This window comes from Homo sapiens, chromosome 1 (assembly GCF_000001405.40).
Source record: "Homo sapiens chromosome 1, GRCh38.p14 Primary Assembly".
Lineage (NCBI taxonomy): Eukaryota > Metazoa > Chordata > Mammalia > Primates > Hominidae > Homo > Homo sapiens.
The window spans coordinates 5860095-5885035 of NC_000001.11; the positions used below are offsets into that span (position 1 = coordinate 5860095).

The window sequence follows — 24941 nt, forward strand, 5'->3', positions numbered from 1 at the left end:
CCCTGGCTCATCTCAGGCTTGGGCCTCATGTCTGAGCAGTTGAGACCCTGCCTCCCCTGCAGTACAATGCATCTGACCGAGACTTTCTGCAAGGGAAGGATAAAATGGTCCCGGTCACCCTCCCCAGCAAGACTGTAGGAACAAATGGGACATAATAGCTTCATAATCACATCCATCAACATTACTTTAAAGGCACCTATTAGGAGAAAGTCTGAGCCTCCTGCCCGCACGACTCAGCACCCATCACAGTGGCTCATTCCCCAGACCCTTAATGAGAGTGCAGCGGCGCTGCGGAAGCAGCAGGCTAACGGGGCAGGCCTTGCCCTCGCGTGGTACGACGGGGAACAGCAGGAGCAGGGCGAGAGCCAGACGGAGTGGACAGGGATGGGTGGGCTGCCCAGGTGGTGCCTGCAGTGACAAGACCCAGTAAATCACAGCTGCACCTTCTCCACACAGAGCTGCCAGGGAAGTGACCAGGCACCTGGGTTACTCGGAGGCTCTGGCCAGGTGACGCTGTGACCAGAGGCCTGGACATCCGACTCGAAGAGACGGCTCCGTATCATGACTGCACACGTTTGAGCCAGCATAGGGTGTGGACAAGCTGGGATCCCTGGCTGTTCAGCGTTTGCCCTGAGGCAGGCGTGCAAATTCAGAGGCCGCCTTCAAGAAAAAGCAACATGGAGAATCCCAACCCAGATGACAACAGGGACAAGCCAGAGAGATATCATTACTCCGCACAGGTACATGTTGAAAAGACACAGAAACACCTTAAGTGACTCCTTCCCCCCTGGAGTCCAGCCTCCACCTCACTCCTTCAGTCTTTCCAAGCCAGCTCTGGCGTGGACAGAGGCCAACCTAGGCAACCATAGGAAACGAACACAAGGATGCAAGCAGAGAAACGGGTCCAGCTTCCGGACAGTAACTTTTCAGAAGGAGCTATGTGCCTCACCCCAGCTTCCAGCTGACTGGAATGGAGCGGTGATGGCAGCGGCTGCAGCAGCCATCTCAGGATACAAGGTGGAAGCAACGTGGTAAGAACAGCACAATGGTAAGACAGAAAAAGACGGGAGCACAGTGATGGTGGAGCTCCACGCCAGCCCTACACCAGCTACCTGGATTTTTAAATGTGAGAGAAATTAATGGCCATCTTGTTTAAGACAGTGTTATTTTGGATTTTCAATCACTCACAGCTGAACAAAATATAGCCTCTTCTGTCCATTCTCCCATCATCTCCCTCCCAACTACTGCAGCAGCCTCTCATTTGCCTACATCTGGGCCCACTCCAATTAATTCTCCACATTACTGCCCCCATCTTACCCAAATACACCCATCCTTGCATAAAACCTTTCAAAGGCTTCCTGACGCTTTTTGATACAGATAAAAGTCCTCCTCATGGCCTGAAAGGACCTTGTTTTGCATCAGGGATGGCTTCTCAGCCTGGTGGCCTTCCTTAGGACTCTGGGCACACCATGCCGCTGGCCCCGGGCCTCAGCTCCCATGGCCCTCTGCCCAGGTCTCCCCTCCCCTATTCACCCACTCAGATCGACTCGTGGGAAGCCCCCGCCAACCTCCATCCTCCTGTGGGAGGCTGCACCTCTTCCTTCCCACTCCGGGCTGGCAACAGCTGAGTGTCCCAGGTACCATGGGCCTTCCCTATGTTCCTGAGCCTCTGAGAGGGTGGAGACCACAGCAGGCATGTGGTACCAGATGAAGGAGTGAGGGAGTAAACCAACGACCGCCATGGCCTCCAATGGATGTCTCCAGCAGCCCCTAGAAGGCAGACACTCTAAAGCAGGGAGAGTGCAGCTTTACAAACGCTGAAGGGACACGTCCACAGGAGGTTTTCTAGCCCATGGATGGATCTCCTTTGCTGCTGTGGTTTCCGCTTCTGCATGGACATCCTGCAAGCACAGGCCAGGCACTTTCTTGCAGTCTGTAGGCCCACCCAGCCTGCAGGGCCCACGAGGACTCTCCACCCCACAGGGCAGGGCTGGATGGAACCCACATGTGGCTTCCTGGACTCCCCGGAGCCTCTTCCATGAGGACTGAAGGACTGGACATCTTACAATTGTTCCCTTGCCTAGGACTCAGCCTTGGGGCCTGTGAGAAAATCCAGCTCCCTCAAAAGAAAACTGTGTCAGCCAGTCCTGTCCAGCTGGAGAGTCCGTGGGAAGGGAGGGCAGACTGTCTCGTGAGAAGCAGCACCAGGATACAAACACACTGCCCGAGGAGGCATCTCCACTCTCTCTCTGCCCCTGGCACAGACGCAGGAAAAAGCCACAGCTCTGACCTTCAGGGTCCAACTACAGTGCCAGTGAAATTTCTCTCTGAAGGATGGGGACTGCGTCAGGATCAGAGCATGCAGACGCAGCAGAGACCACCCACCGAGACTGATCTCTGCAAACGAGGACCGCACCTCACTGCAAGGACCAATGGGGCCACGTGCTCTCTGCAACCACCGCTGGGTGCAGCCCACCCTCCGCTCAGGGGCACAGGACCCTCCGCCCCTCGCACTTCTACCCGACTGCTGCCGTCTCAGAGCCGGGGTCTCAGCCCCCACCCAGGGCAGGCTTGAGCGGCCTCTCCATGAGGACACATGGCATGGGCTGCCTGACCGGCCCCCACCATGTCTCCTCAAGGAGAAACCGGGCTTGTGCTGTAGACAGGAAGCCTCTGACACTGCGCCAGCAGACACTCAAGAAAACTGCCAAGGGAAGACGTGTAAAAGTTTAGTATTTTGTTCAACAATTTAAAAAACAGATATAATACCAGCATAAAATATTGCATAGCAAATAATAGATTATGTTTGTACAAAATCCAGTAAGAAAAACATAATTTTCTCATTTAGGATGATTCATAAAATACATTTTGAGCAACAGCGATAACGAGGGTCCCACATGCGTAGATGGCAGCACCAGAGCCAGACCCACCACCACGGAGTTCGCGCTCACGGAACCCAGGCCTGCTGGGTGTCAGCAGCAGCTAAGCTGGATGCAGGTACTACAAAATGACCAGCGCTCGGTCTCTGCTTCCTCAGCCAAGTGCACAGGTCAGCCAGGTGGGCACTGAAGTGAAAGGCTGCAGAGAGGCGGGGAGGACAGCCTGCAGGGCAGGAGGGGCACAGACAGGCCCCAGCTGGGTGCCGCAGGAAGGACGTCACCCTCAAGCCCTCACTGGTAGATGACCTTCACGCAAAATGCCTCTTCGTTTTTGTCCTCATGGTCATTGATGTAGATCAGGATCTCCTCCTCACCCACTCTCTGACTAGGCGCAAACTGCAAGCCGATGGTGTAGGTCTCTCCACCCCCGACCTGGAAATAAGCATCCAAATCCCAGCATCCACCCCCGGGCTGTCCCACGCTCTCACCAGCAACCTCTCTGCATGGTCGTGTTTATTTCCAAGGGGAGCTGACAAGGCAGGGGAGCCCTGCGGGTGCATCCAAGGCCTGCCTTTGACTTCAGCGCCCGGTACAAGGATGGGAACCAGTGCTCAGCCAGTGTGACGCGTTACTTGGACTCGAAGGCACACTTATTTCCGAGACTGAGCTGTCTAACATTACCATGAAAAGCCCTGGGCACAACACCCTTTCCCACACTCAGGAGAAACTTTGCTAAATCTCCAGCTACTAAAGATACAACGGGCCCACCCAACTATGGGATGGTACCTGTCACCGCCCTGGGGCTTTTGGAAGACTGCTGGTGATTTGAGGAACTCGCTCCTAAATGCAGGCTAACTGCCCTCCATTCAGGTCCCCGGGTCTTCCCCTAGGAGTCCCAGGCACAGCCCCACCACACCTGGAAGGAGTCCTCTCTGAACCGCAGCAGCTCCGGGTGGTCGCTGTGCAGGTGGAATGTCCTCCGGGAGGGGTAGGGGTTGGTGTAGGTGATCCTCTTGTTGACACCCTTCCCTTCGCCCGCAGCCAACATGATCTCAAAGGCCTGTGGAGGGAGGGGACAGGGAGACGCTGCGGCCACTCACGGGAACAGCCACTGGCCCTTCCTCCAAGTATTCCCTGAGTCTCCTGTGCACCGTGCACGGGGACCCCCACAGAGATAAGACAGACGCTCTCTGGAGCTTCCATCCGGGAGAGACACAGCACAGGAGCAAACACTCATGCACCCGGCCCTGCTGGGTCAGAACACTGTATCCAGTGGTCCGAGTCACAGGGCCGAGGTGGGGGTCCTGCAGTGCCCTGGTATTGAGCCCCCATCCCCTCAGCCTGTGCCTGCCACACATACAGACCTTGGAGATGAGCGGCTGGCGGCAGCAGAGGCACACGAGCCAGGAGGCCACCAGCTGGTGGCAATCCACGTCCACCAGGTTGAGATGGACAAAGCGGCTGCCGGCCCTAAGGGGCCTCACGCCAACATGCAGGTCCTGCACCCCACGAGGCGGCAGCACGAAGACACCTTTGGGGTCTGTCTTCAAGAGCGAGAGAGGCGGGTCAGAGCACAGCCTCTCAGGATGTGCAAGCAAGGGGCTCCTGGGCGCCTGCAGCCCAATCAGCCAGGGGAGCCCAAGGTCATGGGTGGTTCCGGGGCGGCCAAATCTGAGGCCACAACCAACCCTGACATGACTGTGGCCGCGACTTGGGTCCACACCAGGCAAGTCCCTCCTCTCACACGGCGACTATTCCCTAAGCGCTGCCTCCGCAGACAGAACTGAAGCCATCTTGGGCTTAAAACCCCGGCCAGCTGGTGGCACCAGGGGCCGCCCTCCCACCCCGTCTAACTGTGGCTTCACTAACACCAGAGCTCCTGTCACTGTTCACCTTGCCAGGAATTCTGAACACCGGCCTTTGGGGTTGGTGTGTACGTCACTCACCCCACAATGGCACATCTAACGAAAGGCAACTGCCGAGAGGCCTCTGGTAACAGCGTCTGCGCGCTGGAGGCGCTGGAAAAGCTGCTGTCAGGGCCACCCACTGTGCTCCAGCTGAATGCCCACTGCCCGTCTCCAGGCTGGGGTTGGGGAGAGGCTCAGAACAGCCCCCAGAGAGGCCGTACCTTCAGCTCCTGGGGATGAGAGGTGAAAGCTCTCACTTTCCTCACTGTCTGTGTCCCCCGAAGGACAAGGGACAGGCGGGTCAGCTGGCCTGCGACGCAGGAGACATCCACGCGCTGCAGGGAGTGGAGGTAGACCTGCCACGTCTGTGTGGGTGTCGCCAGCCAGCGATCCCTGCAGTGGGATGGGAGCCATCTGCACTTGTCCCGGAGGACTCAGCACCGGCCCACGAGAGGCCAACAAGGGCTGCCAGGAGCGTGGGCAGACAGGAGGCTGTGCAGGGAAAGCCCCAGAGGACCAGGCCACAGGAGGCAGAGCTGGGGCCACGCAGGGAAAGCCCCGGAGGACCAGGCCCCAGGAGGCAGAGCTAGGGCCTGGTGGCTCCACCCCTGGCTGCCCATCTCCCACCCACAGCAGAGGCTCTCAGGGCGCAGCAGGGCTGCTTAGGAACCACATGTCAAACAAATGACAAGGCACGCTTTGGCCAAACACACATCCTGGACAAGTGTCCACCCCCAATAGGGGTTCTGAGGCTAAGCCAAGGGCAGCGCCACGCAGGAGACAGGGTGGGGCTGGAGGTCATGCCGGCCTGAGCACGGAAGCCCCTGTTAGCATTTTAGGGCCAAGAGCCTGCTGCTTCACAGTCAAATGGGGCTGGGTGAGGCATCTTCATGGGCTCACGAGGAAGCCACTCTGAGACGTGGTCACGTGGCCCCTCTGTGGTGGGCACTGAGTGCAGGTTAGCCCCTGCCCCATCCTCAGAAGCACTGCAGGAAATCTCCGAGCTCACACCAGTTTGAAAGGATTCTCACAGGGCTTGGGGATCCGACTTAGGAGGGGAGGGGAAAGGGGCCGGGTCATTTAGCCTGGAGGAGAGAGGGATGGGCATTTCCACCACAGTCCTGCCTCTCCGCAGGAGGGACCACAGCTTCATTCATGCTGTTCAGCCTAGGGACTCAGCAAGAAAAAGGTAATGAGGGGCTTCTGGGTGGCCCTTGCCACTATCTGGGGACAGAGGCTGACTGGTGTCTCTCCTTGGTGGCAGGAGCTGCATCCCAAGTCCCTCAGGCTGCACGTGCCCCTCCAAGGTGCCTTCCCTAGACCCCTGCGGGCCCTGAACTCGCAGCAGAATCCCGCCTCACAAAGCGAAGGCCCGAAAGCTCCCCCAATTTTAGGAAGGGGCCAAGCCCACTTTCAATCCACCAGCAGCCCCAGGCCTGCCTCCTCCTCTCCTCCGCCACCGCCTCCAGGTCCCCAAAGCCTGTGCACTTACGAGTAAATGATGACAAAGAAGTCTTTGATCTCCGGGCTTGGACCACTGGCCACCTTCAGAAATATGTCCCGTGGTTCCCCGGGGCCCTGCCAACCAGATGTGCAGCACATCAGGGCACACAGTGCTCTGCCGACCCCAGCCTGGCCCCTAAATCTGTGACTAATACACGCAGCGAGTGACGGCCAGTCCCTCCCAGAACGCATCTGTTCATGTTCTATACCAATCGGAATTCACTATTCTGTTCACTGCCAAAGAGAAGATCATTAGCTTCCTGATTTTACATGGATCTCAACAATTAGATTCTACAGGAGATTTTATCCGGTTTCCTAACTGGTCATAACACAATTATTGCCTTATCCTTTACATAATGGTAATTAATAAGTGCCTTAATTACCATCCACTTTATTAACTTTGCTTCGTGCCTTTTTAAAATTTAAATTCAGATGATCAAGGAGCTGATCTGCTAGTAGAAAAAATAAAAACACACTCATAAAGCTCTCATAAGGATGTCAAAATAGCCCTTTAGTACCTTGGGAAAGAAACCACTTAGCAGAAAACCTAAAATGAAGAGGATCCCAGGATACCCGTGGGGAAGCCGACAGGGGCGCAGACTCACTGGGAAGGATCTGCCTGAGCTGGGGCCACAACACAACCTACCACATTCTGGGTCTCACAGATGACGTTCGGGTCGCTGCAGCGAACATGGACTGGGGGGTCCTCACCAAGCATTCCCACCGGAGCACCTGGAGCAGGGGAAATGTCAAAAAGAGTCTTCTCCACAGCCCCAGCCTGTGTGGAGAAGGCCCCACACATTACACACTATAGGACAGGACAGGCTCGTCACAGGTGCTCAGCAAGACACCTGCTGGGGAAACGGACGCCGCCACCTTTCCCAGGACAGCATCCAAGCACTGTGTTCCCTGCATGGACACCGCCCATCCAGCCCACTGCGGCTCGGCTGCAGCCATCTCCACAGGGAATAATCGAGGGGGCCACAAAAAAGAAAACACAGCTCCCTGGAGCAGGGAAGCCTGCACTCTGCTGTAAGGGGCACCTACCAGAAACACGCGGGCCGTCAGGTGAGGAGGTAGGTGTTCCTCCAGGCACACCTGGACCTGGGCCGCGGGAGCTGGGATTTTTTAGAAGGGCAGACTCAGCCGGCAAATGCGCACCTAGTCATCTCAGAGGTGGCAAGAGGGACACCGTTTCAAACCATAAAGGCAGGAGAGAGAATTCCCCAGGCCCCACGTGCTGCTCTGACAGCACCAGGGCATGAAGCCATGAGGCCATCTGTCACCCTCAAGAGGTATCTACTTCCAACAGGTGAGCCTGCAACATGTGGGCTGCAGGGTCAGTGCAGGACCTGCCTGGAAATGTGTGCCAGGGCGGCAGGCGGATGGCCTTCTTCAGGAAGGAGAGCTCCGGGTGATAGAAGCGGAAGACCTGGTCCACCACGTGGGGCTGCAGCTCCACAGTCAGGCAGAGCACGGCGATGGGCTTGCCACCACTCGCTCGGAACAAGACCTGTGAGGAGGCCACGCTGAGTGTTGGGATGGGCACGAGGCTTGTGAGCAGCTTCTTGTCCCTCCTTAGACAGCACACGTATCTCCACTGTTGCCAAGACCCCCTCACCCTCCACTGCCATGAGCGGGGAAGGTCGGGCATCGTCAAAGGCAGGGACTGAGTCTGCAGCAGCAGGTCTCCACCAGGAGGGGACCGCTAAGCAAGGTCTGGGCCGGCACCCACACAGGGCACCCAAGCAGCCACACTGCCATTATTCCTCGCGAGTACAGCACACTTCTTAAATGCCAGTGGAGAAGGTCTGCAGTCCCAAGTCAAAACTACTCCTGCCATGATCCCACCTCCCGACACCCTGTGTGCATGTGCGCAAGTCAGGCCAGGAGGTCCTGGAGTGGGTGGTGGCAGGGCCAAGTTCGCGGTCAAGCACGTCAGCACAAGCTCTTTGATTCCAGATGGCAAAAAGAGGCTGTGCCTAAACCAAAGGGGTTAGAAATAGAAACTTTCCTGGTTTCAAAAGAGCTACTCATTAAAAACCATATTGTCTGAAGAGGTATTAATTGGGACAACTGATAAAAAGGCTATATTTGTTTCAAGATACACACAACCACAGAGACATGCATACTCACACACACGCACCCACACACACGCATGCACTCATGCACCCACACATGCACCCATACACATACACATACATGCACACCCACATGCATGCAGGCACACGTGCACACACATGCAAACATGCACCCATGCATGCACACACGCATCCAGCCACAAATGCACACACATGCATGTACACATATACATGCACGCATGCCCCACACACACACATGCACGCCCACATGCATGCACCCACACATGTACACATATGCATGCACCCACATGCACACACGCACACAATGCACACATACATGCACACACATCCACCCACACATGCACACACGCACCCACACACGCATGCACACACATACATGCACACATGCCCCCACACGCACACATATGCACGCCCACATGCATGCACCCACACATGTACACACATGCATGCACCCACATGCACACACACACAATGCACACACACATGCACACACATCCACCCACACATGCACACACACGCACCCATACACACACACATGCACACACATACATGCACACATGCCCCCACACGCACACACATGCATGCCCACATGCATGCACCCACACATGCACACATGCATGCACCCACATGCACACACGCACAATGCACACATATCCGCCCACACATGCACACACACGCACCCACATGCACACAATGCACACATACATGCACACATATCCACCCACATGCATACACATCCACCCACATGCACACACACACACACACACATGCACACCCACATGCATGCATGCATCCATACATGTACACAGATGCACAAATACAAACATGGATGCACATACACACACACCACCCACACATGCACGCACACACACACATGCATGCACACACACATGCACACACTTCACACCTGCACACACTGAGAAGGAGAGAGTGGGGCAGGGCAAGAATGGAAACAAGATCCTTCCAAATATATCTTGCTTTATAGTTTGATTTTTGACTTACTTGTTTTTAATTTTGAAAACTAAAATAAATAGAAGTGTTAATGTATTAAAAATAAACAAATCTAAGCTTCTATCAAGTTGGTGCTGTAATTATCCAGAGAAGAATTCTTTAAGTAAATGTAAATCACAGGACACAAAGGACCTAAAGACAAATGCACCTTCAGAAATCTTGCACTGACAGATAGTGTCTAGCCCTGGTTGGTACTGATGTTTTGAAATATACACGTACATAAAGATGGCCAGTGGTATTGTAGCCAAAGGGATTTGGCCAGTGTGGTCAGCAGATTGGTTATATACAGAGGAAATTAGGCAAATAAGTAAGCCAAATGCGAGCTAGGTTTCTCATGAGCAGAAATGAGAATTACAAACATGGAAAAAAACAGGAAGAAACCCGTGATGTTAAATTGGTGTTGGAAGAACTGCTGCAAATTCATGGTCTTCAGCACACTAGAAACAGTAGTCTGTGCACATACACGCACATATCTATACATCATATATGCATGATATGCACATATTGTGTATGTATGTATCTGCACCCACAGGCATACACCTCTTAGGTCTCTGCTGAGAGGGACTTAGCAGCAGTGACATCCCAGTAGTACTGAGTACATCTAACGCTCAAATCTTGGTTTCTAAATATCATTCTCCAACCAAAGGAACCCGAGCTAAATAGCTGACACTCCTGAAATGCAAGCTGAGCCTGGGGCGTCTTGCTGTGCTGGGCAGTAAGGAAAGACTCAAAGGAGGACAGGGGTGAATCAACAGGACGCAGGAGCTGGCCTGAAGAGGCTGCCCTGGTTAGTCAGGGCACGAATATGAGCAACAAAATAAATAATGATAGTAACAAAATGAATAAAATAGAAATTCATTGTTCATAAGGATATAAAAAGTAAATAGGTGAATGGGGTGAAGGCACAGCTCTACCTTACTTAAAATACCAGTAATCAACAGAGAAGGAATGATGGAATTGGAAAATCCATGGCAGGCAAGCATCCCACTACCAACCAACTCGGGCCAGGTCATCAGTGCACACTGACACCTAGTGCGTCAAAGTCTGATGAAGAATAGGGTATTTGAACGGCCTCAGTATCTCCCAACAAGATACTTACTCATGACTTTCTAATTACTAGACATTTCCTGATATTACAGGAAAAAAGCATGGCAGATGTCATCTTAACTGAATGAAAACAGTAACATCGCCAGTAACAGGACAAAGCAACACGGTGTCCCTCACAGTATGATGTTCGTAGAGGACACGGCAAATGTCTGTGGAGGTCCTGCCCCAAGTGCATAACCTGGGTCTAACTGAAACGAACACCAGACCAGCCCCACTGGGCACGCCCTGCAGGATAACCGCCTGTGCACTTCACAACAGCTGCAGCCACGCCAGAAGGACTCCATGGGCAGCAGGCTGGTGGGGGCCACTGGACGGGCCATCTATCAAGTGCTGGGACATTTGTGAATGTGAATGGGGCCTGTGATGACAGAAGAGGAGCGTCAGTTCCCTAATTTTCATGGCTCTCCTTTGACCACAGAGGACAGTGGCCTTATTTTCAAGATAACCCAGCTCGAAGTGTCATGGAGTAAAGGGCATTACCTGATAATTTATTCTCAAATTGTTCAAGAAAAATGCACAAACAGAGAGTGGCGAGGCAAACATGGCAAAGGTTAGTGACCGGGAAGTCTGGGAAAACCCTATGTGGGGACTCTGCACTCTTCCTGTAACTCTTCCCTAAGTTCTAAATTATTTCAAAATAACTACTTGTTATTTAAAAAAGGCACAGGAGTTAACTTGAAAAGGATGGCGGTGGCCTGAGAGAGGGCAGTTCCAGCGTCTAAGAGCGGTGCCTCCATGGGATGAGAAATACAAATATAACGCCTCGGTGTCCATCATGAGACGCCGCAAACATGGACTGTCTCTGGAGGCTGCTAGGACGCAGCTCATTTATTTGAAAATTGATAAAGGGAATGATTCTAACATTCATCCTCACTTTCAAGTACAAAGTATATTTTAGGGTAACCAAACTGCTGATCGGGAAAGTCCTTGTTTGTAGAAAGATCACAGGAAGAATGACAGGACTGCAATTTCACCATTTTCCACCCTGGATGGAACACGCAGTGGGCCAGGAGCCTCAGCTGGATGCGAGTGAGGGAGACACGGGTGATGGCATCAGGCCATCAGCACCTGAGCACGGTGACAGCCAGCATGGCCTCTGTGGGTGGCCTTCATGGACAACGTGGTCTGCCCACTGAGCAACTCCAGAGGCGGAGCACCCCAGGACAGCGGGTCCTGATCCAAACGCACCAGTGGTAGAAAGGCCCGTGGTTACAGCCCCAGCAGACGATGCCGAGGTCTGCGTTGACTGGGGGCAGCAACAACAGCATGCAGTCATGATAAAAAGAAAAGTCCTTATCAGTCAGAGATACACACTGCAGTAATTATGGGTAAACTAACACAGTGTCTAGGATTTCCCTTCAAACTCCAAATTCATGTGAAGAGATCATATTTCTGACGTAAAGATTATTTTAAGGTGAAAAGAAATCTTACCTGAACTTTCCTTATCTGACTAGTGCACAGCCACCTGAAAGTGCAGCTGCCATTAAACCCCTATGTGAAAGTGTAAGTGAAAGCATCCTGCAAATTCCAGGAAGGTCACAGACTGGCCATGCTCACAGCATAAAGAGACAACAGAATGTCCCCGTCTTCCCACGGAGGCCCTGGCCCTCGCCCCCTTTGTGCTACATTGGCACAGAAACCTCGACCTCTGGGCATTTGGCAAGCTACTCACTTCCCAATGCTGCCACGGGCTCACAACGGTAAGGCCCGTCTTTGCTGCTGTCCCTCTGTCTACGGTCATCCACCTGCAGCCCTTACCATTCAGACCTGAGCTAGCAGAGGAAAACCTTCCTCCCAACGGTTTTGGCAACAGGACGCGATGGCTGGGACTTCCCACTCATGTAAGGAAAAAGCGTTAACCTAGAGCACTCAATAAAGATCAGATACATTCCTTAGATCAAGGCAAAGCTGTGGCTGCACACTTAAATAAAATAAAGCAAGTTTTCACTGGTGATGGGGCCCGGTGGACACAGAGGGCCAGGCTGCAACCACAGTGAGACCCGGGCCACGGGAACGCCACAGCCTCACAGGACTGCGCTGAACTCTGAATTCTGTCCTCCAGGCAATGTGTAAGAAAGACCAAAGCTTTTTAATTTTGTTTTTCACTTCCCAACTACTACAAAAGGCATGTTTCTACCGAATAAAAAACAACCTTCAGAAACTGCCATAAAGCAGCAGTGTCTCAAGCTCCTCCTGAGAATGTCTCAGCCAGCTGTTGAGAAGCAGGTGCCTTACTATACGGCCTTCGCTTAGCAAGGGACGTAACCAAGGACTACGTCTTATTTCCAGGAAGAACCACACCACACACTCACACACCAGGGAATGCTCTGCGTGAGGCTCAAGGAGTGGCCGCAGGCTGTGGCAGCCACCACGGGAACTGCGGCTTCACACCCGGAGAGCCCTGGGCTGTGAGAAGGCGGCCACCAAGGAGGCATTTCCGACCAGATACCATGCAGGCTGTGCCAGCGCCCAGACGGAGCTGCCCTGCCCAGCGAGGACACGGAAAAGGCCATTCCCAGGCCCACGCCACCCCTGCCCTGACCTGGCCCCAGCCCTCCCCTCCAGGAGGGGAGAGAAGGACACAAGGGTCAGGCCCTGGGAATACCCAGGAAGCCCCGAGATCAGTTTGTCCTCCGTTGCCCCTTTACCTTGGCGTGTTTAGTGGGCACTGCGCTGGACTTCCAAGGTGACACGGCGTCCATGCCCTTCTCGTTGCTCAACCCAGGAGAGGCCTGCAGGAACCGAACAGCACAAGCAGGTCAGGAAGCAACACCATTAGGCGACCAGCACCTGTGCTTAGAGACACCACTGCCACCCAGCTGGGAGCCACCAGCCTCCTCTCACACTGACTCTCCAGGCAGCAACCATCACCAACCGGCCTCACTGTGCCAGAGAAGGCTGAGGCTGCCAGGAACAAAGGGAACAGCAGATCCCAGGTGGAAACCCGGCTCTGCCTGAAGCCAAAGGCCTGAGGTCCCACCTGCAGTCCTCACAGCCCATCCCAAGAGCCAGCATGGCATCCTGTGAGTGAGCCTCTAGGGACATCTCAAGTCCACCTTAAGCGATGACCACCACCCTAGAGAGCTGACCCCAAAAGGTCAAAAGCTGAAACACACACTCCACACCCCATGCCGGCCTCACGCACCCGGGCATGACACACCCCCTGCAGGCACACCTCACACACCACCCCCTGCACACAAGTGCACACCTGCACACACACCTCACATACTCCCTGCACACACACAACTGCATGTCTGCACACACCTCACACACTCCCTGCACATCTCACAGACCCCTACACGCACAACTCCTGCACGCGTGCCTCACACACACCCTGCATACATGCCTCCTGCACACACACCTCACATATCGCCCCTGCACACACACCTCACATACATCCTGCACACATACCTCTTGCACATATACCTGCTGCACGCACGCTCCCTGCACACATGCTCCCTGCACGCATGCTCCCCGCACACATGCCTGCAAAGCTGCATCTTGCATAGAGCAGACAGTGCTGCAGTCGGAAGGGACCAAACAACATTAACTGGAAAGAAGATGCTAGAAAACGTCAATCCATTAGATTCACTGGGCTTTAAGAAGCCCTTCCAACCAACTTAGTAAAGAAAATTAGGAGGAGATGGTCCAGCTCGACACCCATCAGGCTGGAAAAGAGAAGGGGCTGGTTGCCACTTGCAGTGTACATGCCAGGGCTCTTGTTGAGCACCAAGGGGAGTGGGCGGCAGCCCCAAGGCTAGTCTGTCTGCACAGGTAAGGGAGGGACACTGGTGGAGACTGGAAGCATTCTCAATTTCCCACCGTCATCAGCCAAATGCAACTTCCCTGTGTGCCTGACACCCGCACCTGCACCATGGCCAGCTGCCCTGCAGAGAAGCTCTGGAACTTGAAGGGGACGTGGGCGGTCTCGTGGGGGCGCAGGTAGAGCTGGGGGGCCAGGCTGCCACGCAGGTGGAACATGTCCTCCTCCACCGGTGTGTGCAGGCCAGCAGCACCCTTGAAGTCCCTCCACTCCTGACTGTCCACGATGACGCTGGGGGAGGCAGTGTCCAGGCGTCAGGGCAGTTCTTCCCAGGAGGACCCACAGGAGGCTGCGGTCCCACCCACCGAGAGCGGTGCTCAGAGGAGTGGGAGAGAGAAGTCAAATCGCCCCGGCTCTCGGGCAGAATTCGAGCCAGCTCAGCAGGGGTGCCGGCTGCACCCGACACAGATCTGGGCTGGGGCAGGACGGGCACCACTGAGACCTCACCTGAGCTCGGGGTTGTCGATCTCCACAGTCACCGTGTGCTGTGTGTTGTGGGGGTTCTTAAGCACAAACTCAAAGAACTCGGCGACCCCCAGCGTGGCGTGGAGCGTGTGCTCCGTGGTGATGGCCAGGCTCAGCAGGCTGGCGATGCTCTCGGCCTTCGTGCGTTCCCGGTAGGCGGCGATGACCTGTAGGTCCCGCAAGTGCTGTGTGCGGACGCTCTGCTGCGCCTGCAGACAAGAGGACATGGGTGGACAGGGTCCCAGGCACACTCTCCTCCACAAGGGGCTATTGCTGGCTGCCCACCACCCGCGATCTCAGAAGAGGACATTTCTCCACAAGCATCGCCACCACCACCCCCTTCCTTGACCATGTGGTCTGGGTGGAACTGGCCGGCCCCGCCCAGGCATGGATCTCAGGCAGTGCTGGACAGAGATCTGCTGGCTGTGTCCCTGACACGGAGGTCCACACAGCATCCCTGCCTATTCCTGAGAGACTCTTCACAGACACGAGTCTGGCCCCCCGCACGGTGGAGAATCAGAAGTTTCAAACAAGAGAAAAGAATGGCCTCAAAACTATGGTGACAGGCCTCACCAGCCAGGTCCCCAACACAACTTTGGGAGCCCTGCCTGGGCCCAGCGTCCACAGGAGAGGACATGCCCCCGGCCTGCTGAGTCTCGGTCACACCGGGTCAGAGTCCAGGCAAGCAGCACGCTGCCTCAGCAAGGCTCAGCCACCCCCTTGCTCTGATGCCGCAGGGACTCAAGGGGCTTGGCCAGCACACATGGGTTCTACAGGTTGGAGACTGGCCTGTTTTTCCTGTGGGACTTACAAGAAAAAGTAAGGCCCACTAGAGGCTGCCTTGCAAGATCTCAGGCCTGGAAGGGGCCACCCCCATGCCGGGGAGTCAGCCAGCCTGCAGCTACTCCAAGAAGCCGCTGCGGCCGGGCGCTGGGAACCTTCTGTCTAACACAGAGGAGGCTGAGGCGTCAGAGAGATGGGCTGACTTCAGTGCTTTCAGGATTTAACTCAAAAGGTGAGGACAAAATTTGATTTCTGGCTTAAATGACTTTGGACATTCACTTTCCAACATCCAAGGCTCTGGCTGTTCCTTTGCAGGGGGATTGGAGCTGGCCTTTCACACTTGGGGCCTCCATCAGAATTTCATCCTCAGAGCTTTTCAGGAGTGGAACCTCTGACAGGCTGTGCTGGACGATGGGGCCAGACATGAGTTAGGATGAGAAACAGGGATAGGGCTGAGAGTGGCTCCTCAATTCCAAGCTTATGCTGACAGAGCTAAGGTTATCCAGGCTAGGGGCCTCCAGAGGCCACAGCTTCAAGCCCTGCCAGCTGGGAGGGAGGGAGGAAGGGAGGGAGGGAGGTGGGGTGGGTGTCCTGAGGCCTGGGAGGAGGCCCCAGTCATGCCCTGGCCCTGCCCTGGCCTCCCTCTAGTCCCTCCCTCCTCCCTGACCACTGAGCCCACCAGTCCTGTGGGATCAGGCCAGGCCTCCTCACCCCGTGTCTTCTCACCATGCCTCTTCCTCGCCCCATCAGACTGAACTGAGCCTAGGGAGGGACCGAGGCGTCTGCATCCACCTTTGAGCACCAACGCCTTGCTGGCAGGGAGGCTGAGTGGCAGCCCTGCTGAGTTTACTGTCAGGAAAAGGGCCACCTCTGTTCAGACCCCGGCCTACCTACATGCAAGGGGGAATCTCAGGAGATCTTTCTCAAGGCCCCTGTGGTTCCCGACTTCTATGAACCCAGGAGGTACAACCATTCTCACCTCCCATTTCTTAGTAGCAAAATATTAAAAGTTCTATTTAGATTTTCAGCCAAAAAGGGGAATTTTTCTAGCCAGAATGATTACATTGACAACCCAGGATATGTCAGTTGTTCACAGCTCTGGTCCCCAGACCTGGGAGAGCCTCAGAATCACCTGCAAAGCTTTCTTCAAACCCAGGCTCCAGGGGTCCTGCCCACACCAATCAGTATCAGAATCTCCAGGGGTGACGCCCAAGAACTGGCTTTTATTAAAAGCTCTCCAGATAATTCTCACTTAAAGATTTCCCCCGGTGGCTGAAAAAGTCCGATTTTCTTATATTCTGTCCCCAGGATTTGGGAGGAAGGTAAGAGAGAATCATGTGGGAGGCAGGGAAAGGATGTGCACAGTGACTCAGTCTGCATGGAGATCCCAGGACAGTGACAGCTGAACAAACCCTTACCAACACGCTCGTCCCGCGCCGGCCCAAGTCTCCCCCGGCCTCCTGCAGGCGCACAGACCTCATCCGCTCCAGCTTACGCCTGCGGGTGGCATCCGACTCGCGGCTGACGTCCTGGGGCCCCTTGCCCTGCCGGGCATGGGTCAGTAGCATGGCAGCCAGCTCACTGTCCACGTCCGCCAGCTTCTGTGCTTGCACCACGTGTTTTCCTGCGAAAGGGTCAGAGCGCGAGTCAGGTAGACGTGCAGTGTCTGCCTTCCAGGAGCAGACACCAGGGCAGGCCTCCCAGGACCACCTATATAGGGAGGGAGCTCAAGAGTGCGGCTCATGCTTTTTGCAGCTCCAATCTGCAGAGTTCTGAGATCCAGATAAAGATGATAACTTTATACCCTGGTTTCCACAGCATCCCCTCCTTTCCTCAGCCTTCAAATTAAAAGCAATTCTGACTCTGGCCCTTAGATCCAACGCTGTCAACACACCACCAGGGGGTTTTCTAGGGAAGAAGGCCACGTTCTAGAAGCCCATGCTCTCGGGATCTTAAAGGGCCCACTAATGCCTTCACCCAGGGCTGCTGGCCTCAGCCCCTCGGATCAGGAATGGGGGTAAGGGGTTGTCCCCTTGGCAGGAGGCCTTCAGTGAGTGGGGGGCAGGCGATGAAGCTCAGAGCAGGCCTGGCCCCCAAGCTCCTGCTCTCAACTCCATCCCAGCTGACCCTGGACTGCCTGGCCCCCAGGACAGCCCGCCTCCTCTGGGGTGGCCCTACTCAAACCAGGGACACACAATGACTCATTTAGCAAACCAACAGAAGCTGAACAGGGTCAAGCACTGGCAGGCAAAGGCTCAGCCACTACTGGATGGGCCAGGCCCTTCCTTCCGACACAGAGCAGGGGCTTGGGGTGTCGGGCGGGGCTGTGCTGGGTGACCAGGCCACGCCAAAGGCTGACACATGAGGCTCCCAGAAAATCGCTCAGCCCGGCACAGGCAGGGCAGCTGAGAGGCGCCCCAGCTTACCAGCTTAGGGCCTGGGTCCTTCCTCACTCTCTGGCACCAGCAGAAACTTCCCACAGGAAACCAATGCCAGCCCGAGCTCTCCCAGCCTGGTTCCACTTGTATGGGGCATGGGCACCCCCTGCAGAAGCCTCCACACAGTGGACAGCAACGTGACCCCCGCCTCCTTCTCACAAGGAAACAGTGCCACTGTCAGGTCCCTCACCACCATCCAATTTTAACGCCGGCAAACTGCTCTGCAGATGCCCCGCGTGGCTCTTACAAGTCTCCGGCACAGGCCTGGTCTGAGCTACCTGCAGCCACGGCTGTGAGTGGAGGGACCTGGGGCCTGCGCAAGTTGGGGTTTATCATGAGCTCAAGTTTTCAGATTGCATCACCCCAACAAATACCTCTCGTGGTCCCAATGAAACCAGAAAGAAAGTTACAGAGTGACCGTGAAACTGCACTTGGGGTAAGGCACGAAGCACTGAGAACCTTCTTAAAATTTCGTGCAACTTGCTAATTGCAGAGCCTTGCCTCATGGGTGAGACATGTGCTTTTAAGGGACACCTCCTGTCCTGGTCCTGAGCAAAACAGGGTCTGGAGGATCACTGACCTCAGGGCCTCTGATTGTCTCAGCAAGGCCTTCTGGGTTCCTGCTCCCTGACAGCTGAGCTCCTGACCTGCTGCGCCTGGAGGCAGGGTTTTATCAATAACCTCAGCCTGGCTCCTGGAGCTCAGGGACTTCTCTCTAAGGAGCTGGCTCTCCACCGTACTCTAGGTGGTCTGTGGGACCAGCTGAGGATGAAGGGCACTGACCCCAGGGCAGGGAATCCAGATTCTAAGCCAAGTTCACCCCTTAGCCACGGCACTGGCCAAGTCACCTGACCTCTCTTCGTCTCAGTTTCTTCAAAATTACAATGAGGAAGCTGGCCCAGAACAACAGACTCTATCTGCCTGGATCATGAATCCCTTTGAGCCCCTCATGTCTGCTCCCAGGGAGAACATACAAGTTTACCCAGAGTTTCAGGGGCCTTGTGGGATCCTGGAAGCCTTGCAGGAGGGAACCCAACGGCCCCTCCCACCTCTAACTGCCCCTCCCACCTCTAACAAGCCACAGCTCCAAGGCCCAGCAACACACAAAAGCGCACGGCAGCTGTGAATTCACACAGATGATCTGCAACCTCTGGGGAAAATGCTCCTTAAAGAGCACTTCCCACTTGTAATTCAAATGACAAGTACTTTATACTCAGGTCTGTGAGGCCTTACATTTTAAGGGGATAGAAAAACTTCAGAGCCTCCCTGCTGTGAAACACATTTTCACCAAACCCAGGTCTTCCTCTCCAAACCAGGTCTTTCTTTCCCAAGCTCCATAATTGGCTTCTTTCTTCTGTTCACAACATAGGGTACTTCAACTTGTTTTGAAAATCAGTCTATGTTCCTCCTGACCTTCTCTCCATTTCTCCTTCCCTTGCAGATGAGCAGCCAACCAGACACAAATGCCACTGGCAGGGTTCCCACTTCTCCAAACAGCACAGTCGCCTGCAGAGCCCAGCCTAGAGCACCAGGGTGTGATCAATGTGGTGGCTCGGTGGGGCCTGTGGGTCCACAGGGGCATCTAGCCAGGGCACCGAGCTGCATATGGACAGCACAGTCCTGCCCTAGATGCAGATGGGCATTAACAGCACCACGAATGGTGCGCACACACACACACACACGCAAACACACACACACACGCAAACACACACACACACGCAAACACACACAGACACGCACACAGACACGCACACACACATGCACACACAGACACGCACACGTGCACACATGCAGCCTTCCACCTCTCACACGCCATTCATGACCCACCTGCACATGGACAGCACAGTCCCGTCCTAGACGCAGAGGGGCACTGACAGCACCACGAATGGTGCACACACACACACATGCACACACGCATGCACACACACACACACGCAGTCTTCCACCTCTCACCCACCACTCACGACCCACCCACACATGGGCCCAACAGTGTAAACTCACGCCTTGAGCTTCCAGTCGTGAGGAGGCTGCCTCCAGAGAAGCGGCTGGCTCCATCGTTTGAGATGACCCGAGATCTGGACGGTGGCAATGTGCTACAACCTCTCACTTTCTGTTCACACGGGTGACCTACATGAAAAACATCCCAACATAAGACATGAACCCCAAATGAGAATCTGATGAAACAGATCAACCCACCACATAAGCGGCTGTGGCTTTCAAATGGCCTATCTACACCCTGACACGCTAAGGCCCCACCGCCTCTGTTTTGAATGTTTTGCAATTGAGAGACAGGTGGGAGCTCGTTCTGCTGCGAACTTTCAGCTAGGTCTTCATTCTCCTGCCGTGTCAGTGGCAGCCTCCGTTTCCTGGTGACGAATGAAAGCGTGTGGCACTCACAGTTCGCTGCACATGGATTCTTACTTCTGGATCTCTGGGTCGCAAGGCGGGCTGCCTCACAAACTCTAACCTCGGCCTCTCGATGGCCACATTGATCAAGGATAGGCCTGTGTGCATTTACACGTGCAAATGTCTGGCTCCACACACACCCAGGGTGAAAGAGCCCCCATAAACTGGAGCCTTCACCAGAGTTGTGTTCATAACAGAAGGCTTTGGCAAGCAAGTGGTGTGGCCTCGGGACAAGCGTGTCTCACGGCCGGTGGGTGTGGCACCCTACAAACTTGCAACTTGCAAACCTGAGTGTCCTGGGGGAAGCCGTGCTTGCCCACGGCACACTCTCCTGCAAGGATGGGACCCACAACCTCGGTGTGGCCTTTACTTCCCCAAGGGGCGAGGCAGAGCACCGCCAACGAAGCTGTGTCCCAAAATGAACCACCCAGGGTACGCACAAAATGCTTGTGCCATCAATTTCCTTAATTCCGACGAGGCAGTGTTGAGTGCCCTCGGGCCTGGGATGTCCTCACCATTTTCCCGGGAGCTGTTAAAAACGGGAACCCCTTCCCCTGGGCTTCCTGCCTCTCTGCATCCCTTCACTCCTGCCTACCCTCAGCCCTAGGGGAGGGAGGGACTTCCACACTGGCCAGGTCCCTCCTTGGCTGCAGCAGATCCACCTGCTGCGCCAGGTTCCTTCCCCTCTTGCCCGTCAGAAGCTGCTGTTTTCAAGGACGAGCCCAGTGCTGGGAGCACGCCCACGTGCAGGCACCTGTGGAGGTGAGCCATATCCTCCGTCCAACCCAGGTTCTCCTGGTGACAAAACCAGAGCTGGCTGACGGAGGTGTCTCTCTAGAATGGGTCTGAGCTGAGGCTGGAAAGGGAGTGCCCGTCCTACCAAGGGAGCCAGGCAGGTCTCCGAGCTGCTCTACCTGAGTTCAGCCCCTCTACATCCCAGGGAACAGCGCCTGGATTTTGGAAAGGACCTGAAAGCCAGATACTGAATCGCAGCTGGCGACACCAAAGACATTGGCGGGACAGCAGACCAGCCCCCAAAAAGGGCTGTTGAGGGCAAAGGCCCCGATGTGGTGGTAGAGAGAGGCTAGATTTAGAAATCACAGACTGCCTGGAATCAATCTCTAGAAAACTTCTAGAAGAGCTTCACTTCACAGACAGATGGAAAGCTGGTGACGCAGCAGCGAACAATCCCTGCTGCCCTCAAAGAACTCACATTCTCCTAATTCTTAAGTTCCTTTGGTCATCTTGAGTGCTCTCTCCGGATCTCAGTCCAAGCCAGGCTGGCCTTCCTGCCACCTCCTGCAGACGAGCTGTTCTTGGTCATCTGTCCCTGCTTCAGTCTTTGTAAGCTCTTTCAAAACTGAAGCTCCAAAAGCAACTATGGCAAAGGCACTGGCACGTTGGCCGCCTCCTACTGTCTGCGCACGAGCACAAATGCAGAATTCCCTGGCTCAGCGCCATCCCTGGAGGCAGCTTGAAAGCTCACTCTGGGCAGCTGTAGGGTCAAGCCGCCTGCTCACCTGTGCTGAGAATTCGGCCCTCAAGGCCAGGTTCTGACGGCCACGCTCACAGCCGTCACTGCGAAGGATGGGAAGGCTGGCTGCCTCCTCCCACGCCCTAGGTGGCAACCAGAAAGGCCAGTGGTGCACTTACCCAGCCATCTCTCAGTGGCGCGCTTACCCAGCCATCTCTCAGTGGCGCGCTTACCCAGCCATCTCTCAGTGGCGCGCTTACCCAGCCATCTCTCAGTGGCGCGCTTACCCAGCCATCTCTCAGTGGCGCGCTTACCCAGCCATCTCTCAGTGGCGCGCTTACCCAGCCATCTCTCAGTGACGCGCTTACCCAGCCATCTCTCAGTGGTGCGCTTACCCAGCCATCTCTTTCCAGGGGAATTAATTTCGTTCTTGCCAATGTCCCAGTAGCTGACACCCCCCGCCTCTTGTTCTTTCTCCTTGACCTCGACGTCAGCACCATGCTGTGCAGCAGGACAGCCGTGCTGACTTCCCCCTCGGCCCAGGTCCCTGCTACATCCCCATAAAGACGCAGCCTCCATGTCGCCCACATGCCCTACACTGTGCTTCTGCCTTCGGGCTACCAACCGCCTCCTGGCACCTGCAGCGTCCACTCAGTCCTCACTCCAAGCCAGCTTCCTGGGAACGAGCACCTAGAACAAGGGCTATTTCGGTCCTCTCCCTGTTGCTCTCAGACCCTCCCTCCTGTCCTGCCCGCCATGGCCACCTCTGCTCCCACATGCTTCGCAGGGGTCTCCAGCTTCCCCTCAAGTTAAAGCCTGCACCCTCCCAGTGGAGGCTGCAGAGCCTCTGCCCAAACACCCTCCTCTCGCCTGCCAGGAATCCGTTTTTGGCCCTGACAACTCGTGGTCACAGGATCAAGATCCTCGTCCCTAAGAAAGGAACCCAGATCAGCGCTCCTTCACACGAACAGATGTTCATGCCCCATGATGGGCTGTATCTTCTGAAGCCCAGGAAGAACAGGGCTCCCGGTGAGAAGGGCACTCAGGCTTCTTATCAACGCTTTCATCACTCTCTCCACCACGGCGCCAGGTTCAAGGGCAAACACCACTACAAAGAAGCCACGATCAGGGTCCTCAAAGACTTCCCAGATTCATGTGGGAAAATGGCAGACAAACAAGCAGGCTGGGGCGAGGAAGGGACGGCAGCCTGAACCAGCCCAGCCTGCCTGTGCCAGGGCCAGAGCTGCGGGCACCAGCACTGATGTTCACACTCCGGGCCACGCTGCCCTCCACATGACGAGGAGAAAATGCCACCGATGTTCACGCTCCGGGCCACGCTGCCCTCCACATGACGAGGAGAAAGTGCCACCGATGTTCACGCTCCGGGCCACGCTGCCCTCCACATGATGGGGAGAAAGTGCCACCAGCCCCAAAGCCTCAGTTTCCCACTCACAAGCTCAGAGTTGTCCCAGCTTCTTGCTGTGTGTTTCTTCCCACGGGAATTCACAGCAGGGGCAGCAGCTCACGGGCTGGCAGTCCTGGCAAGCTCTCTGTCACGTCCCGAGGACCTGCTCCAAGAAGGAGGGGCCTCCCAGGCACCCAGCACCTCCATTCACTGTGGGCTGCAGTGGGTTCATCCTCCACCCGGCACCTCCCTTCACTGTGGGCTGCAGTGGGTTCATCCTATACCCGGGGCAGCCCAGAATGCTCCATAGCTTTCTCGACCACCTTCATCTGATAGCGAATGGTTCCCTGAATCGCAGACGAGGCCTCTGGTCCACCCACATCTGACTGAAGTGGGCACTGGTCTATTTTAAGCCTGTACTATGCACCACCCTGAGAAGTACTAAGAGACCAAGGAGAGTGTGGCAAGGCCAACTGGGCCTGGGGCAGGCGACCAGCATTCTTGGAGCTCAGACTCGAAGGACACCTAATGATGACAATGGCTGCAGCGGGTGTGACCAGCAGGACACGGAACCCTGCTGGGCTTCATGACCGTTTCCTCTTACTATATTTCTACTTAGGGCACATGGGAAAATAAACCAGGTAAGCTGAATTTACACTTGCATGCTCACTCAAGAAGGGAACAAGCGGCAAAGGCACTGCATTTCATCAGGGCACAACTTGGATGTTAAATTAGTGCAGGCTTTCTTCACCTTCCATGAAACAGGTTACACCCGCACCAACACGTTTGCTGCAGGGGCAGGAATTCCCTCCAAACACACAGGGCTCCCGATGCAGCCCTGCAGCTGGACCAAAGCCCGCCACCGCCAACCGTGTGACCCCACAGCCTGGCCATCTGTCAGAACCCATCACCACCCAGTTCTCCTAGGATGTCCTGTGAGAACACAGACGCTTAGCCTGTGGGGCCATCTGTCCTGACGCCTGCCTCCCCCAGGAAAGGTCACAGAACACAAGTAACACACAAGCTCCCAGCCGAACCCCCGTCCTACTCGACAACCAAGATCACTGCCCAAGCTCCCAGCCGAGCCCCCGTCCTACTCCACAACCAAGATCACTGCCCAAGCTCCCAGCCGAGCCCCCGTCCTACTCCACAACCAAGATCACTGCCCAAGCTCCCAGCCGAGCCCCCGTCCTACTCCACAACCAAGATCACTGCCCAAGCTCCCAGCCGAGCCCCCGTCCTACTCCACAACCAAGATCACTGCCCAAGCTCCCAGCCGAGCCCCCGTCCTACTCCACAACCAAGATCACTGCCCAAGCTCCCAGCCGTCCTACTCCACAACCAAGATCACTGCCCAAGCTCCCTGCCAAACCCCCATCCTACTCCACAACCAAGATCACTGCCCAAGCTCCCAGCCAAACCCCCATCCTACTCCACAACCAAGATCACTGCCCAAGCTCCCAGCCGAGCCCCTGTCCTACTCCACGACCAAGATAACTGCCCAAGCTCCCAGCCAAACCCGTCCTACTCGACAACCAAGATCACTGCCCAAGCTCCCAGCCGAACCCGTCCTACTCCACAACCAAGATCACTGCCCAAGCTCCCAGCCGAGCCCATCCTACGCCGCAACCAAGATCA

General features: G+C 55.4%; 1 protein-coding gene and 1 non-coding gene across 32 annotated transcripts in view, besides 1 other annotated feature; both read right to left on the reverse strand.

Moving 5' to 3' along the window:
- Positions 2578-2647, reverse strand: MIR4689 (microRNA 4689). The gene has a single exon (NR_039838.1). It is a non-coding gene; the product is annotated as a microRNA 4689 (primary transcript).
- Positions 2717-24941, reverse strand: part of NPHP4 (nephrocystin 4) — a 129615-nt gene continuing 107390 nt past the window's right edge. For 24 of the 31 annotated variants that reach the window (XM_006710563.4, NM_001291594.2, XM_017000999.2 and 21 more), the window contains 12 exons: positions 20020-20145; positions 16999-17204; positions 14780-15006; positions 14377-14563; positions 13158-13241; positions 7646-7802; positions 6936-7021; positions 6279-6364; positions 5008-5179; positions 4244-4423; positions 3796-3939; positions 2717-3311 (listed from right to left, as the gene is read on the reverse strand). In XM_006710563.4, coding sequence (XP_006710626.1) covers positions 3171-3311; positions 3796-3939; positions 4244-4423; positions 5008-5179; positions 6279-6364; positions 6936-7021; positions 7646-7802; positions 13158-13241; positions 14377-14563; positions 14780-15006; positions 16999-17204; positions 20020-20145 — 1796 coding nt within the window. In that variant the 3' untranslated portion in view covers positions 2717-3170. The other 7 variants (XM_017000996.2, XM_011541214.2, NR_111987.2 and 4 more) reach the window with 6 other exon arrangements.
- Positions 19714-20218: an enhancer, noted in NCBI's record as "H3K4me1 hESC enhancer chr1:5939868-5940372 (GRCh37/hg19 assembly coordinates)". NCBI's record gives its function as "activates a minimal SCP1, AML or CMV promoter by ChIP-STARR-seq in naive H9 embryonic stem cells {active_cell/tissue: H9 hESC(naive)}" and the evidence as "EXISTENCE:reporter gene assay evidence [ECO:0000049][PMID:30033119]".